General features: G+C 34.4%; 1 protein-coding gene across 14 annotated transcripts in view; it reads left to right on the plus strand.

The window, feature by feature from the left end:
• PCDH11X (protocadherin 11 X-linked) overlaps positions 1 to 16964 on the plus strand; it is an 843856-nt gene that overhangs the window by 499784 nt on the left and 327108 nt on the right. The window contains exon 5 of one of the 14 annotated variants that reach the window (NM_001168361.1): positions 8809 to 8844. The exons of the other annotated variants lie outside the window; for them this stretch is intronic. Coding sequence (NP_001161833.1) covers positions 8809 to 8844 — 36 coding nt within the window. The remainder of the gene's footprint in view (positions 1 to 8808; positions 8845 to 16964) is intronic. 14 annotated transcript variants of the gene reach the window in all.

Here is a 16964-nt window from a genome sequence, read left to right on the forward strand (position 1 = left end):
TCAAATAGCATTCTCCTTCCCACTATATTTGATTCCTTTTAGCCTGGTATATTTATCAGATACACTTTAACAGCTTGTTTTACTGTTCATGAATAAAACCTATTGTTGTCCAAATATACTTTAAGCATTGATTTAAGAATTAGGTTTTCTTCTTGAAGTGCATCATGCTTCAAACGATGCATCTCTTTACTAACAAGACAGGTTACCCTCTTTATTTATTTCCTGAAAATAAATGTGTAGTGGAGCAAATCACAAATATTGCCCTTAATATTTTCCGTAGTCAGCATTGAATGCAATTTTTTAAATCTCTAGCATTAAAGGAACTGTCTCCGATCTGTTTCGTATTTTGTAATAAAGGTGATTTCTGGGAATTGTTTGCTGCATAACTCCAGAATAGTTTTGTATCATTGTTATTGACAAGTTATTATCTTTGTAATACTTATATAAAGTTGGTTGGGCAGAAACCATAATGTTAAACTTTTTAAACAAACGCTCCTATTAACTTTTACTTGCCAATATATTTAACTTTTACTTGGCAATATATTACTTGGCCTATGTATTAGTTGGTACATATTTGGCAATATATGAATGGTTTTTGCCCAGCATATTTTTCACGTTTTTAAAGGTCCAAAATATTGACATTTCAACTTAATTAACTGCAGATCTTATAGATTTAGGATAACAAATAAAAAGCCATTGTTACTTTGATTAGGTAAATTTCTCCTGTACAGTCATGTGCCACATAATGAGTTTTGGTCAATGATGGACCACATATACAATGGGTTGTTCCATAAGATTATAATATTGTATTTTTACTGTACCTTTTCTATTTTTAGATACATTTACATACGCAAATAGCTACCATTGTGTTACAATTATGTGCAGTATTCAGTACAGAAACATGCTAACATGCTGTATAGGTTTGTAGACTAAAAGCAATAGGCTATACCATATACACATGCATACACATAGAAAAGCACACATGCAAACATACTCGGTCTAGGTGTGTAGTAGGCTACATCATTTCAGTTTGTGTAAGTATACTCTATGATTTTTGCACAATGAAGACATTGCCTAATGATGCATTTCTTAGAATGTATCTCCATTGTCAGCCAGGAGCGGTGGCTCACGCCTGTAATCCTTATACTTTGGGAAGCTGTGCTGGGTGAGTCATGAGGTCAGGAGTTTGAGACCAGCCTGACCAACATGGTGCAACCCTGTCTCTACTAAAATACAAAAATTAGCTGGGCGTGGTGGTGCGCATCTGTAATCCCAGCTACTCAGGAGGCTGTGGTGGAGGTTGCAGTGAGCCAAGATTGTGCCACTGAACTCCAGCCTGGGCAATAGAGTGAGGCTCCATCTCAAATAAATAAATAAATAAATAAATAAATAAATAAATAAATAATAGAATATATCTCTGTCATTAACTGACATATGAGTATACTTTATTGTTCAGTTCTGAATCTTTCACATTCAGTTAAACTGGAGAATTATGTCCCAAATTAAATGAGATACAAACATGCAATGCTGTAGAACTAAATAAAAACTAGGTAGAAAATGAGGAAACAATTGAGTTACTTTGAACAAACAAATCCTTTGAAGCATAATGTAATTAATCAAATATATTTTTTTTAAAAAAAAATTGACATTAGTAAACTGGGGAGAAAACTTTACCATTTACAGTAGTAAATGTGGGGAAAACTTGACATCTAGTCTAATATCAATACCAAAATAAATCAGTGAGATAGGAAAAATAAACATTGTTTTCAGCAAATGAATCAAGGAACTGCTAAAGTATGTGGTAAAGTTCAAAATGAGTTCCCTCTACAGTATTCTAAGCAGAAGCATCTGTGTTCCAACTAGCTGAATCTTAAGTCTTTTAGTGGTGGTGATGGTACTTGAGTGGTGATAAATGAATGAGGGCCCTTTGTGAACTGCAATCATTGAACTAAACAGACTAACATCCTCTCAGCACTTTTCTGGGCATCATCATCCTGCTACTTATCTCCACAGCAACTTAACCACCTCTTCATTTCTGAACCAAAGGTCATATTGAATCATTTTTCTTATTCTACATTTCAGATTTGTCCTTCTGATAAACACACATACACACGCATACATACACAAGAGTACACCAGGAAACATACACAGGCTACTACTGTTTTCATAAAGGCAAGCATTCAGAAAGTTGCATCTCTATTTCTACCTGACTTTAATTTATGTGTGTTCATATACATGCACTGGGGAAAAATTGCCAGTTAAAAAGGAAACTAAAACATTCCCAGGCAACTGCCATGATTAGGGTATGTAATGTGGATTATCTTTACTAAGTTGGATCTGGAAATATGATTAATATAAACTAGTCAGTATGAAACAAGAACAGATAGCAATGTGGTTTAGTGATATACAATGTATAGGAAGAATTAAGATCAATTAAACTTAAGAGTCCTTAACTATGAGGTATGGAGCTGTAATCTCCAGAAATTGGGTTTTATGACTTCCTTGTCACATGGCTTCTTTCCATTAGAGTCCAAACTGAGGACAAGTGAATTGTGGATGTTGACATACTAACAGTCTCATATTTTCAACTCATCTAGATTCTGTATAATGGCTTCATTCTCTTCTTAGACTAATTTGGTAGCAGAATAAGAATTACTCTGCTGTCTCTAAAACACGTTATGGTATATGAAAAAAATTCTTTCATTCAACAAACTTTTATGGAAGGCCCACTGTGTCTCAGGGACTGAGATATATCTTCAGATTTAGACCTTATTCTAAGGTAAGTTGTGACATATACATTCAGATATAGACATTATTCAAGTCACTTAAACTTTTTAGACCTGAATTACTATGAGGAAAATGAAGAAGATAAAGAAGAATGAGAAAGATGAGAAAAACAAGAAGAGGAGCAGAGGAGGGAGGAGGAGAAGGAGGAAAAGCAAAAGAGTGAAAATAAGGGGAAGGAGAGAAAAGGGAGTGGGGGAATAAGAAGTTCTAAAATAATGTTTTGGAGTTATTTAATTCCACAGGAGCTGTCTAGAAAATAATTATCTGTAAAAATAGCTAATAAATGACTAAGTTAGATATTTATTTTTGACTTTGAAGTTCAAGTTTTATAGTGTTCATCTTAAAATTTTTTTCCTAAAAATGGATAAGAAATACAAAACCTACAGGATTTTAACCCTCACATAGTTAATATCTTCCAAAAATAATACCCTAGTTCAATCTTTGAAAAAGATGTAGAATTTTAAATTATAGAATTTAATATATTTTGCAGGACTGAAAGATAAAATGATTCAGTTCATTGAAAAGCCTATATCGTTCAGCTATCTGACATTGAGGGTAGAATATTGTACGTATGATGAAGTTAAGAAAGCTAAGAACAGTATGCCACAACTATAATAAAATGATATGCTATGTTAAGCTCTTTGCAATGAATTATGCTAAAATAAAATAGCATTTATGCTTTTTAGGTCAGTGCTGGATATTTATGAGCTAGATGGTTTAGTAGATAGCAGGTCAATTTTGCTATCAAATCAACACAACTTCACTACCAACAAACAAACTTTGACCGTGGTGAATAACTAGAATGAAATCTTCCCTAGAGTATATTAGTTCCAGTATTTCTGCTGGGAAGCTATGGGCAGATTGCTATCGTTTTTCATTATTGGGAGACATTGAATGCTATTTCCCGTAATGCTAAAGTTTTGGCACTATTTCACAAAATTTAAAAAGACACACAAAATTAGTCATAGCTTCTTGATATTAGAAAAATCAGAGTCATGGAAACATTTGTCTCTCTATCTATCTATAGATCTATTATTGCTCGAATTTATTGAGCTCATGTCATGTGCCAAGAAGTATGTGAAGCTGGGATTTGAAGCCTCAATATAATTCTAGAGCCAGATCTCCTAAGCAAAAAAAATTAAATTGACAGAATCAAGATAAAGCAATAAACATTCCCAGATCTCTACATGATAATTCCAATTAGGATTAATCATTTTAGCAACACCTATGGCAATACTTAGTACCATATAAAAACAGATATTTTAAACTGAATAGATCACTCAAGTTATGCTGTAATGGGTTGTACAGAAAAAATTATTAATTTGCTTGCCCCTTTCTTTCCTGTTGGTAAGAAAGACTATGTTAATAAGGATTTACTTCAAGTTTTTATAGAAGTGATCTTCCTTTAATATTGCTGCTAAGTCTCTAGCCATTTGAGTGTACAGTGTTGCAGTGTAATTAAAGCAGAATGCACTGAACTTCTATGGATGCCTTTGCCCTATCACAATGGAAGATTTTCTTTTAATCCAGCTTTCATTTTATGCCTAATATTGATGAGTCAGTGATTTAGTGAGGGCTTTATTTCATTTTATTTTTGCTACTTACAACAATGTTTAGGTTTCTAATGTCTGGTTTTCTCCGTAATTCCACATCAAGTTCTACAAATCGTATGATTTTCTAACACCAAGGGATTAGCACTTTTCATGATCTGATGGACAATTTTGCGTATAGTGCCATATGAATTGTTATATTATCACATAAAATGTCCAGTGTGTCTAAGCATATTTATTCCATTCATTCACTTTTCACTAGCTATAGAGGCTCATAGAAATTATTTTTACTTGAGGTGTATATCTTGGACTCATTAGATTAAATTTTTTCTTACATGAAATTCAGTGTGGAATGAAGGTAGACATATTTCTCTTACTTTACTGTCCTTTATTTTTTCTTGATGAACTTTAAACAATGTTCATTAATGGACTTACAAGTTCTCATTTTGAACAAGCTTCCTTTTTCCTTAGTTGACAAAATTATCCAGGTTTCTTTTAGCATGTTCACAATTTCAGATTTTATACAATTACAAACTGAACTTTCCTTATAAACTGATTGTTATAGCTAATTTTTCCTAATAAAATTCAAATTAAGACAGCACCTGTGAATTCTATTTAGAGTTCTATTGATACTCAATGTAGCCAATCACTGCCAACATGAATCAACCTACGTATGTAAATTTAGTGACCAATATAAAATAGTCTCATCGTTCTTTACTACACTTTGGAGAAACTTAGTCATTAATGTTAATCACTATAATGGTTCATATTTATTCCTGCTAGTTCTAAAGTTCTGCTTCCTAATTGCATTATTACAAAGATAAAAAATTCAAAGCAACATGTATAGAATAGAATGTGTGTGGGACTGTGTCCAGTTATTAGACATTATAAATTACTATTTGCTTTTTAAGCAATTAAATATTTTAATAAAAACAAGTTGTGTTTATACCTGCTGTAAAGTTTCTTGCTTTATATTTTACTAGACTAAAAAACAAAACAATATATTTTAATCCACTGTTAGCAGGATTTAAGATAGTTCTGAGAAAGAGGGAAATTGTTATTACTGACCCTCTTCCATATTGGTACCCCTAATGACTGTCAGAAAACGCAGGATGAGAACCATTTTTGCTGCGAGGCAAGCCCACTTTTCTTTTTAGAAGCTTTTAAGAAAGCTAAAATTGTGTACAAAAATATTTCTACTGCCTACAAATCACAGTTTATTTTTATGTTTGAACAGAATATTTTCTAATGTAATATATAGATTTTATTTGTGGGAAAATCTGGCACCAACTCTCAACGGCTTTGTTGCAGAAGCATCTAAAAATGAGCTGGAACTCTAGGGTCTGGTACATAAAACATTATATTATCACATATGGGACTGCATTTTAAATTTAATCTGAAGGACTTGATAAGATACGCCAAATTGCTTAGAAACAATTTGTGTAGCTAGTGAACTGTGGCATCTGGAAGCCCATAGACATTAAAAGCACTTTTTTCCACTTTTTCCCTCTGTTTTCGCCTCCTAATCACTGCAGATGGAATACATGCAATCTATACTGATATTGCAATGAAGACACAAGCACAGATGCTTTTTATTGTGATGAAAGATGACTTTTATTCAGTGCCCAGTTTATTATTGTTATTATTGTTGTTATGATATTAGCAGGCAATATGATGCAGACGTGCTGGCAAAATCTATGATACTAGTCCCACATCATTATAGAGTATGGATTTTCTGTTAGACTGTAGAATTTTTTTTTTTTTTTTTTTTTTTTGAGACGGAGTTTCACTCTTGTTGCCCAGGCTGGAGTGCAATGGCGCGATCTCGGCTCACCGCAAACTCCGCCTCCAGGGTTCAAGCGATTCTCCTGCCTCAGCCTCCTGAGTAGCTGGGATTAGAGGCCCCCACCACCATGCCCGGCAAATCTTGTAGTTTTAGTAGAGATGGGGTTTCTCCATGTTGGTCAGGCTGGTCGCGAACTCCTGACTTCAGGTGATCCGCCCGCTTCGGCCTCCCAAAGTGCTGGGATTACAGGTGTGAGCCACTGCACTCAGCCTGTAGAAAATTTTTATAAAAGTAGTAAGTCAATCTGTGTGTGTAATAACATATGTGCTTTAGGTTTGAATTTTGTCAGGGAACTAAAACTGAAAACAAGGAAACATATTGACAAATTATTTATTATTCTGTGCATATATAAGGAATAGCCATTAATTAAAGATTGCTGAGACCAGCTCGGTCATGGAGACCCTAACCCAGTGGCCCTAGAGGAGTTAAAGACGCACACACAGAAATATAGAGTGTGGAGTGGGAAATCAGGGGGCTGACAGCCAGGAACAGAGATTTACCCACATATTTATTGACAGCGAGCCAGTGATAAGCATTGTTTCTATAGATTATAGATTAATGGTAAACAAAGGGATGGGCCGAAACAAAGGAATGGGTTCTGGCTAGTTATCTGCTGCAGGAACATGTCCTTAAGGCACAGATCGCTCATGCTATTGTTTGTGGTTTAGGAACACCTTTAAGTGGTTTTCCGCCCCGGGTGGGCCAGGTGTTTCTTGCCCTCATTCCGGTAAACCCACAACCTTCAGCATGGGCATCATGGCCATCACGAATATGTCACAGTGCTGCAGAGATTTTGTTTATGGCCAGTTTTGGGGCCAGTTTATGGCCAGATTTGGGGGCTTGTTCCTAACAAAAGATCATCATGGCTAAAGATAAAGCCATCACAGCTTTATCACGCCTACGTAATTTTTGCTTTGCTTCTCATCAATGAGCCCAGGAAAAAATTATTTAATGTTGGTGCATACAAATATTCCAGCATTTCACAGAAGATTCAGAATTATCTTTTAATTTAGGGGTATTAAAGGTTAACAGAAAGTCCAGCTGACATTTTGAAAAATAAAGTGAGAAGTTAAGCATTGTTCCTCTTAAGGTTTTAAATAAAATTCAAAAAGTAAAAAAAAAAAAAAAAGGAAAGGAAAAGCAAGCAGATATAGTACAAAGAAAGTGAAAATAAAATAAGATAAACAAAAGGAAAATCAAATAAATACAATTCAGGTCTCTTCCTTCAAAGAGACCACTTATTTCATTCTAGATTAAATGGGCTTTCATATTTTTGAACTGATGACTAGATGAAGTAAGTTCTACTAAATGGTCTCACTAGTTCCAATTTTGGAGATTATCTCTTCAAGGATTTAGTTTACTTATTAAATGCTACTGAAAGATGGAAAAAGAACAAAGTAGCTACAACTGAAAATCTGGAATAGAATTATATAGCAAGAAGGAATTATAATCTATAAATATAGGTTCTCCTAAAATGATCTCACATCTACAAACATGAAAGTATTTTAAATGATAAAAAGAAGTCTTTCTCCAGTTTGTAAGATGGGAATAATAATCATACTTATCTCACTGGGTTATTGTAAGTTTTAAGTAAGTGAATATTAAATAAGTTCATGTATCTAAAAATGATTTAAACAGTGCCTGGAACATATTGGTGCCATGCAAAGTTTATATATTATCGTTATTATTAATGATAGTATGATTCAATACACTGTATTTACGTGACTTTAAGACAATGGGTGCCAAACTAGTGGTTTGTTGTTGGAATTGACTGTCAGTAAAAAACAGAATGTGAAAATAGTGCTTCTTTTCTCTTATTTATTTTATATTTTATTTTATTGTATTTTACTTTAAGTTTCAGGATACATGTGCAGAATGTGCAGGTTTGTTACATAGGTGTCCATGAGCCATGATTGTTTGTTGAACCTATCAACCTGTCATACAGGTTTTAAGCCCACATATATTAGGTATTTGTCCTAATGCTCTCCCTCCCCTTGTCCACCACCCCCTGACAGGCCCTGGTGTGTGTTGTTCCTGCCTCTGTGTCCAAGTGTTCTCATTGCTCAACTCCCACTTGTGAGTGAGAACATGCAGTATTTGGTTTTCTGTTCCTGTGTTAGCTTCTTTTTCACCTCTCCCAGAATACTTCTCATTCAGTATCCACCGTTGGCATTCTGTCTTCCCACTACAGCATTTAATGTGCTCATTCAATCAACCAGCAACCCTGATACTAGTGTTGCACTGTCCTGTACGATCCAGCATTATTTGGACATTACCTGGAACCTAGAATTTTCTTCCTTTTCTTTTGTTTTAAGCTTTCCTAAATCAACATTTTCTTATGCAGTATATTATTTCTTTAGGCTTCGCACGCTAATAAATTGATAGCTAGCTAATTCTACTAAAATAGATCTGATATGGTTTAGCTCTGTGTCCCACCCAAATCTCATGTTGAATTGCAATCCCCAATGTTGTAGGAGGGACCTGGTGGGAAGTGATTGGCTCATGGGGGCATATTTCTCCCTTGCTGTTCTTGTGATAGTGAGTTTGTTCTTACGAGATCTGGTTGTCTGAAAGTGTGTAACACTTTCCCCTTCACTCTCTCTCCCTCCTTCTGGCCATGTGAAGACTGTGCTTACTTCCTCTTCCCCTTCTGCCATGACCGTAAGTTTCCTGAGGCTTCCCTAGAAGCATAAACCTGTATAGCCTGCAAAACTGTGAGCTGAATAAGCCTCTTTTCTTTATAAACTACCCAGTCTCAGGTAGTTCTTTATAGCTGTGTGAGAACAGACTAATACACGATCCATGCTACTGCATTTAATGTATCACTATGGAAATGCATTTTCTTTTTAGATGCAGAGATTGAAGAAACCAAAATTAATGGCCATTTCTGGGAATTTTAGCCCTGTTCAAGAGGTCTGCTATAGTTTTTCCTTTCTGTAGCTAGTAGGTTCTTATACTACCTTTTAGGAAGAAATGTTCTACTATTATGAAAGGACCTTAAGTCACTTGGAGACACTGAGGTCACTACAAATTTTGAGTTAGTTACTTCTTTTTTTTTTTTTTTTTGAGACAGAGTCTTGCTCTGTCGCCCAGGCTGGAGTGCAGTGGCAGCCTCCACCTCCCGGGTTCAAGCGATTCTCCTGCCTCAGCCTCCTGAGTAGCTGGTACTACAGGCATGTGCCACCATGCCCGGCTAATGAATTAGTTACTTCTAAGGCTGTATCAATAAATTCCAGACTTAAAATATCTGTTTATTTTTACTGTTAATCAAGGTAGGACGTCATTTCTTTGCACATGCCTTGGTATTTTCATTGGTTAAATTTTATTGTCAGTATGGAAAAATAAAAATCAGAGGAAATGTATACAGTATTTCTGTGATTTGTTTTAAGAATTTAATTATAGATTTTAATCTTGATGTGGTTTTTTTCAAAAACATGTACCAGGTTTTATATCATCCCAGTAAATAATTTTGTCTGAAGGTCAAATGTTTTTAAGAGTGTTTCATGGAAATGAATATATTTTCTTAATTTTATAATTGACCAAATTTTTATAATGTAAAAGAGAAATTAATGAATGCTGTATTGAAAGGTAATCACTCTGCAGTTGATCCCGCTATAATTTCTATTTATTTAAGAATTATGAATCATCAGCTAAAATACTGAAAATATTTGCTTTAATAATAGACTATGAGTATTTTGTATTTTAGTAAATTTTGTATTGGAACTATCAAATAGAGTCACAACTTCACCCGTTTCAATTTTTATGGTTGTTCTTTATTGACTGCATAACAATTCTATTTGCAGAAATTCCTTCAAGATTTATCACTGAGTTTTTATTCATATGATTAAAAATATATTAAAATATAAGCTATTACTATTATATGCGTTATGAAGGATTACAAAGAATTTCAGATCAGGTATTTAAAATCACATTGGAATCATATATCTACTGTCTTCTCAATAGACGCAATATACAGCACACCGAGGTTGAATATTTATTCAAGTTGTTTTTTCTATTGGAAATGAGGCTCAATTATTCCAACTTGTTAAAGCAAGGGCTAAAACGTAGCTTCTGAAGCATCATAAAATTAAATAACTGTATTTTCATGATTTAAATGACAACTCCATTTATTTCAGCTTTCACTTATAAATGAGTACTTACGCACTGATGAATATGAACAAATGTACTTAAAATGGAAAAGTTAAATGTGATTTTAATACATTTTAGTAAACTAAGGGCTGAGTACTATTGGGTTAGAACAAGAGGGAAAACAAATTTACATGTGAACATTGTGAGGATGTTCACATGTAAATAAATAGCAAACCACTGTTATGACTAGGTCAGATACTTCAACTCATTTAAAAAATGCAACTATGTTTTTACTGTGTAGACTCAGTAATAGTAGGAACAATATTGCCTAAAAGCATAATTTATTACACAGACAACTATTTACTTTTGTTCTTTTAAATAACTAATGCAGATCATAATTTTCATATGAATAATTTCATAGAAATATCTGTCAGCTTACTTAACAAATATTTCCCAGGAAAGCTTATCATTTGTTCATATTTTCCTAAATCATATATACTATATTTTTAAAGAAAGTAAGTCATAGAAAGGAATCTGAAACATATTAGTTTAAAACACTTCTTTTATATAAGGTTAATAGTGGGAATGATAGAGGTAACATTTAAAATTGTTAATTATAGCTGCAATTTCGATCAAATAATTTTTTATCAGCTACAGTTTTATGATAATGCAACTGTTCTTATTTATTTGACATCTAATAAAACAATTATGAATCAAATTAGTGAGTACTAATTATACCTTCATTTCTTATTCACCTTCCATTTGTATGTATGTATATTAGGGATGATCAGACATAAAATTTGCTAATTTTTACAACCTTTTACATCAAATGGTTATTTTTCCATCATGATTAGAGAGAAGTTAGAATCAGTGTATCACTTTCACGGATTCACTCGGCAGTTAAAACACATCGTTAAAGCCATTCAATGAAATAACCAGAAAGGAGCAATTGACTTTTAACATTTGGCTCCACAGAATGTGTTTTAACCAGGTTCCACTTCCTAAATAACACATCATGCCATCATTTCAGAATCATAAACAGCAGTCATAGCAAAGATATGTCTAGTGATATTATAGAAACATATCAGCGTGTTGACTTGTGGAAAAATCAAATTCACTGTTTGTAGAAGTGGAAAATCAAGTGTTTGAAGAAATTATCCTCTTATGTTGTCATGTTTGTCTAAAATGTGTTTAATATTTTGCAATGAATAAACAGTGGCATAACTAAGTGGGCAAATATTTTCAAACTAGATAAATAAACCTGATTGAAGTTATTGGGCCCTTTTCATCAATCACGTTATTTCAGGAGGCAAAGTTATTGTATAGTATTTGTACTTGTATATTAGTAACAATGCACCACCATGTATTTCTTTTAAGTAACAAGATTTATAATTACAAGATTTATAAAATAGTTTACATTGAGGATGTAGTTAGTGGATGAAAGATGAACTGAGAAACATTTATTTTCTTTTGTCTTTTTTTTTTTTTTGAGACAGTGTCTCTCTCTGTAACTCACGTTGGAGTGCAGTGGCACATACATGACTCACTGCAGCACTGACCTTCTGGGCTCAAGGGATTCTCCTGCCTCAGACTCCCGAGTAGCTGGGACCACAGGTGTCTGCAACCATGCCCAGCTATTTTTTGTTGTTGTTGGTTTTTTGTAGAGATGCAGTCTTACTATGTTTCCCAGGCTGTTCTGGAACTCCTGGGCTCAAATGATCCTCCCACCTGGGCCTCCCAAAGTGTTGAGATTACAGGTGTGAGCCACTTCGCCCAGCCCAGAAATTTTTCATTTGTTAAAGCATACTGATACATTATTTTCTTTCCAAAGATTTTTTTCTTATAAAATACTATAAAGTCTATGTGTGTTTGAGGAGAAGAGGCATATATCCTGTATCCTGTATATACATTTGGTAACTGTAAATAATTAAACACAGTTTCAGAAAAATATTCCCATTTGTTAAAAGCATAGAAGTTTTACCCTCCTACCATACAGAAGGGCCTCACAGATGGATAAACCATGTTTGTAACTTTTTAGGTTCAGTAAATTACAACACACATCTTCTGTAACCCAATTCCAACCTTTTAACGTCTGTGCATGGAATTAATATAGGTTAAAAATGGGTATGAGGTCTTAAGCTAGCAAAATGAACTATCTAATTACTCTGTTGCTTAATAATATATTAAAGATTATTAGTTTTTAGTTCTGTTGTGTGTTTCCTACTTTTGAACAAGTTCCATAAGCTATAACTAAAACTATATGCTTACTTTTCATCTTTGGAAATGAAACAGAGTGTTTATATACTTGAATGCCCAGAGATGGAAAAGTCATATCTTGGACAAGAGCATCAGACACATGATTTATAGCCACTGAAATACTTTCAAATCATGACTTAGTCTACCATAGGGCATTATGAAAATGTAAAGACTCTGTCTCAAAAACAAAAAAAAAGAGAAAGAAAAAAGAAAAAAAAGCATGAACACAAAAGCAAAAAATAATTAAAATAATTCATTGTCTTTATCCATTTTGGAGACTATTTGGAAAATCAGCTCTGAATAGAAAGAATGCAAAATGTGAAATGCATCACTTTGGTTGTTAGCAGTGGTCACATGCAATCCAATAAAATGTGGACCATAATATACTGGGTACTATATGTAATAGTTACAACCTAATATGCATAAAATATATAGTTAATCTTGTCTTTCTGGATTATGGATGCAAAGTCATTTAAATTTTAGAAATAATGAAGTGACTGATCAATGTGCAAAGACTTCTCAAAGTCTGCTGCAGAAAAAAAAATTATTTTGGAAAAAAATATTTTGAATGTCATAACAATCAGCAGGTATCTTTTTAAAGAAAAGAACAGAACATTCATAAATTGGAAGTATCCTTAATGTTTTTGCATGTTGCTGGAACATTTTACCTGCACACTTGTTCTTTAAATGTTCTCACTCTCATTTTATAAATACTTATGCAAGCTTTTCATGAAACGCATTTCTAAGTACTACCTGCTGGTTCAGATTATGTCTTGTTCTATTTTATTGAAAGAATTCAGAAGACTTTTAAAATTAGGTATATAGAGGGTGATTTTTAAAAATGCCTCTCTTAACAGTAGAATGAAACTGTCATTTACTGAAGCCACAACCTCCTGAGAAGGAAAATAAGAAAAGTCAAAAAGAAAACATTCAAGGAAGATGTCTTTCTACCTTTTGCTATGTAATCTTTCTGTTGGTGCCCTACACCACTGCACACCTCCCTGCCAGCACATACACAGAATCGCACACAGTTACTATTGGGAACAATAGACAAAGAAAAAAATGTTTTTATTTTTTATTGGTATTCAAAGAACTGAGATGTAGAGGAAAAAGAACTGCAGTGAAAGTCCAGCAATGAATTATTCAATTCCTTCAATTTGTTGACCTTAACGAAATGCAAAGTGATTTGAACTAAAAGTAATTAACAAGAGAGAGTGTGCCTAGTAAAACCAAGAAAGAATCATATTTGTTTCAGGAATCAATAACAGCCAGTGACTGAAGGTCATAAAGGAACCATTCAGGAAAACAAAGAGCCTTTTGCCAAGGCAGTTGTCATGCTGTATATGTGTGCACATATGCAGGGATTTTAGCTGTGACCGTGTACTAGGAAGATTTAATTACATGAAAATGTCTTCTACAGAAAATAAAGTGAGGAGAAAAATGAACTAAGAGGCACATCTCAGTGACACTAAAATGTCATTTTTGATGTCAAGTTTAACAGAAAATTGTTTCTGAGGAGTGGCATCCAATACAGTTTTTCATTTAAATAAAATATTCCAGTGTGACTAAAAGTAAAATTAAAAGCAACACTGAATAAAATTTAATGAAGAACTTTGGAATGGTAATAGAGTTCTATAACATAGAACTAAAGCTGTGGGCCAGACACGGTGGCTGAGGCCTGTAATCCCAGCACTTTGGGAGGCCAAGGCGGGCAGATCATGAGGTCAGGAGATCGAGACCATCCTGGCTAACACAGTGAAACCCCGCCTCTACAAAAAATACAAAAAATTAGCCGGGCGTGGTAGCGGGCGCCTGTAGTCCCAGCTACTCGGGAGGCTGAGGCAGGAGAATGGAGTGAACCAGGAGGCGGAGCTGGCAGTAAGCCGAGATCGCGCCACTGCACTCCAGCCTGGGCGACAGAGCGAGACTCCGTCTCAAAAAAAAAAAAAAAAGAACTAAAGCTGTGAACATGTTCCAAAGACTATTTTGGCACGCAGAAGCACATCTTTGTCTCTTCTGTTACGAAATCTCAATGAAAAACTCTTGAGCTTTTCCCAAATTGAATTGAAGGACATTCTATAAAATACCTAACTAGTACTTCTCAAAACTACCAAGGTCATCAAAAACAAGGAAAACCTGACGACTGTCATAGTCAAGATGCGCTGAAGGAGATATGATGACTAAATGATGTAATGTGGAACCCTAGATGGGATCCTGGGTCAGAGAAAAGACATTAAGAAATAGAAATAAAGTAAAAATTAGTTAATAATAGTGTATAGATATATTGGTTCATTAGTTGTGGCACAATGTATTATAATAATGTAAGATGTTAACAACAGGGAAAATGGGTGTAGAGAAAGACTACCTGTACTAAATTTGCAACATTTTTTGAAATCTAAAATGATTCTAAAATTTATTAAAGATTCTCAAGTTTATTTTATTCATTTATTCATTCATTTATTTATTTATTTTGAGATGGTGTTTTGCTCTTGTTGCTCAGTTTGGAGTGCAATAGCATGATCTTGGCTCACTGCAACTTCCACCTCCCAGGTTCAAGTGATTCTCCTGCCTCAGCTTCCCACGTAGCTGGGATAACAGGCACCCACCACCACGCCCAGCTGAAGTTTTGGATTTGTAGTAGAGACAGGGTTTCACCGTGTTGGCCAGGCTGGTCTCGAATTCCTGAACTCAGGCGACCCACCCATCTCAGCCTCCCAAATTGCTGGGATTACAGGCTGTGAGCCACTGTGCCCTGCCAATTCTGAAGTTTATTAAAAACATTAGAGCATTTTATCCTGGCATAAATTCTAGCAATATTATTGGCTTTTATTCCAATCTATCTTAATCTCCTTGAAATATGCTCATTAATTAAGAAGACAGCTACACAAAACATTACAATAATCAACAGGAATGGACATTTCCATTTTGTTTATACATTTTAGGAGCTGTGGTCTTGGGGAAAAACAAGAGGACCCAAAATGACTACAAAGATAAATTTTCATAAATGATTGTCCTGGAGCTGCTATATGCTAGATCGCATCAAGAAGAGCTTAGGGTTTCACTTGTAAAATAAAAGCATCTTCTCAGAGAACTGCTGTTTGGAGATTCATAAAAATAAATAGTAATTATTGGATTCAAGGCCCTAGAGAAACATATGTGTGTACTCTTTGGTGAGCAAATTGCTATTATTATCTTGAATTTAATACAATGAAGCATCACACATTGTAAAACTAAGGGAGTCACAGAAATTTCAAAGTTATCTATTTCTACCTCAGCTATTTTAAACTCTCTTCTAGAAGCCAAAATAGTAAATACTTAAAAAGAAGTAATTTATAGTATTTGTTAACTAATTGGAATAACTAGATAAATGTAGTTTCATGAATGGTTAAGAAAACTTTTACTGAAACCAAAAGTATTGAGAAAATCATCGTGAATAGTAACTTAAATTTTGCAAAGGGTAAATGCAAACAGAATATGACTCATGAATAATATGGTAAGCACTGAACTGTAAGTAATCATAGAACTGAGAAAGCATTAAAATGATATAAATCTGCCCAAAAGTTAAGTATATGTGTTATTTATATTGGTCATGTCTAAAAGTGAACAAAAACTAAATAAACTGAATAATATAGTTGATTTTTCTATATTGATCTTATATCCTGCAACCTTGCTGGACTCTCGTTATTTCTAATAATTTTCGTAGATTCCTTAGAATATTCTATATACAGGATCATGTCATCTGCAAATAGAGATAGTTTTACTTCTTCCTTTCCAATCTGTATGAATTTTGTTTCTTATTGTTATTATCATTTTTGTTTTGCATAATTATCTTCGCTAGGTCCTCCAGTGCAACACGTTAGAAATGAGCAAGAGTGGATATTACTGTTATTTTCCTGGTCTTAGTGAGAAAGCACCCAATCTTTCATCATTAATTATGATGTTAGCTGTGGGTTTTTAATAAATGCCCTTCATTAGGTTCAGAAAGTTTTCTTCTATTCCTGGTGTGTTGAATATTATCCCCATAAAAGCATGCTGGATTTTGACAGGTGTGTTTGTGTGTGTGTGTGTGTGTGTGTGTGTGTGTGTGTGTGTCTATTAAAAAGATCATGTGGGTTGGGCACCGTGGCTCATGCCTGTAAGCCCAGCACTTTGGGAGGCCTAGGCGGGCGGATCCCCTGAGGTCTGGAGTTCGAGACCAGTCTGGCTAACATGGTGAAACCTCATCTCTACTAAAAAAACACAAAAAATTAGCTGGGCATGGTGGCATACACATGTAGTCTAAGCTACTTGGGAGGCTGAGGCAGGAGAATCGCTTGAACCCGGGAGGCGAGGTTGCAGTGAGCCGAGATCGTGCCATTGCACTCCAGTCTGGGCAACAAGAGCGAAACTCTGTCTCAAAAAAAAAAAAAATCATGTGCATTTTGTTTCTTATTTTA

This window comes from Homo sapiens, chromosome X (assembly GCF_000001405.40).
Source record: "Homo sapiens chromosome X, GRCh38.p14 Primary Assembly".
Classification (NCBI taxonomy): Eukaryota; Metazoa; Chordata; class Mammalia; order Primates; family Hominidae; genus Homo; species Homo sapiens.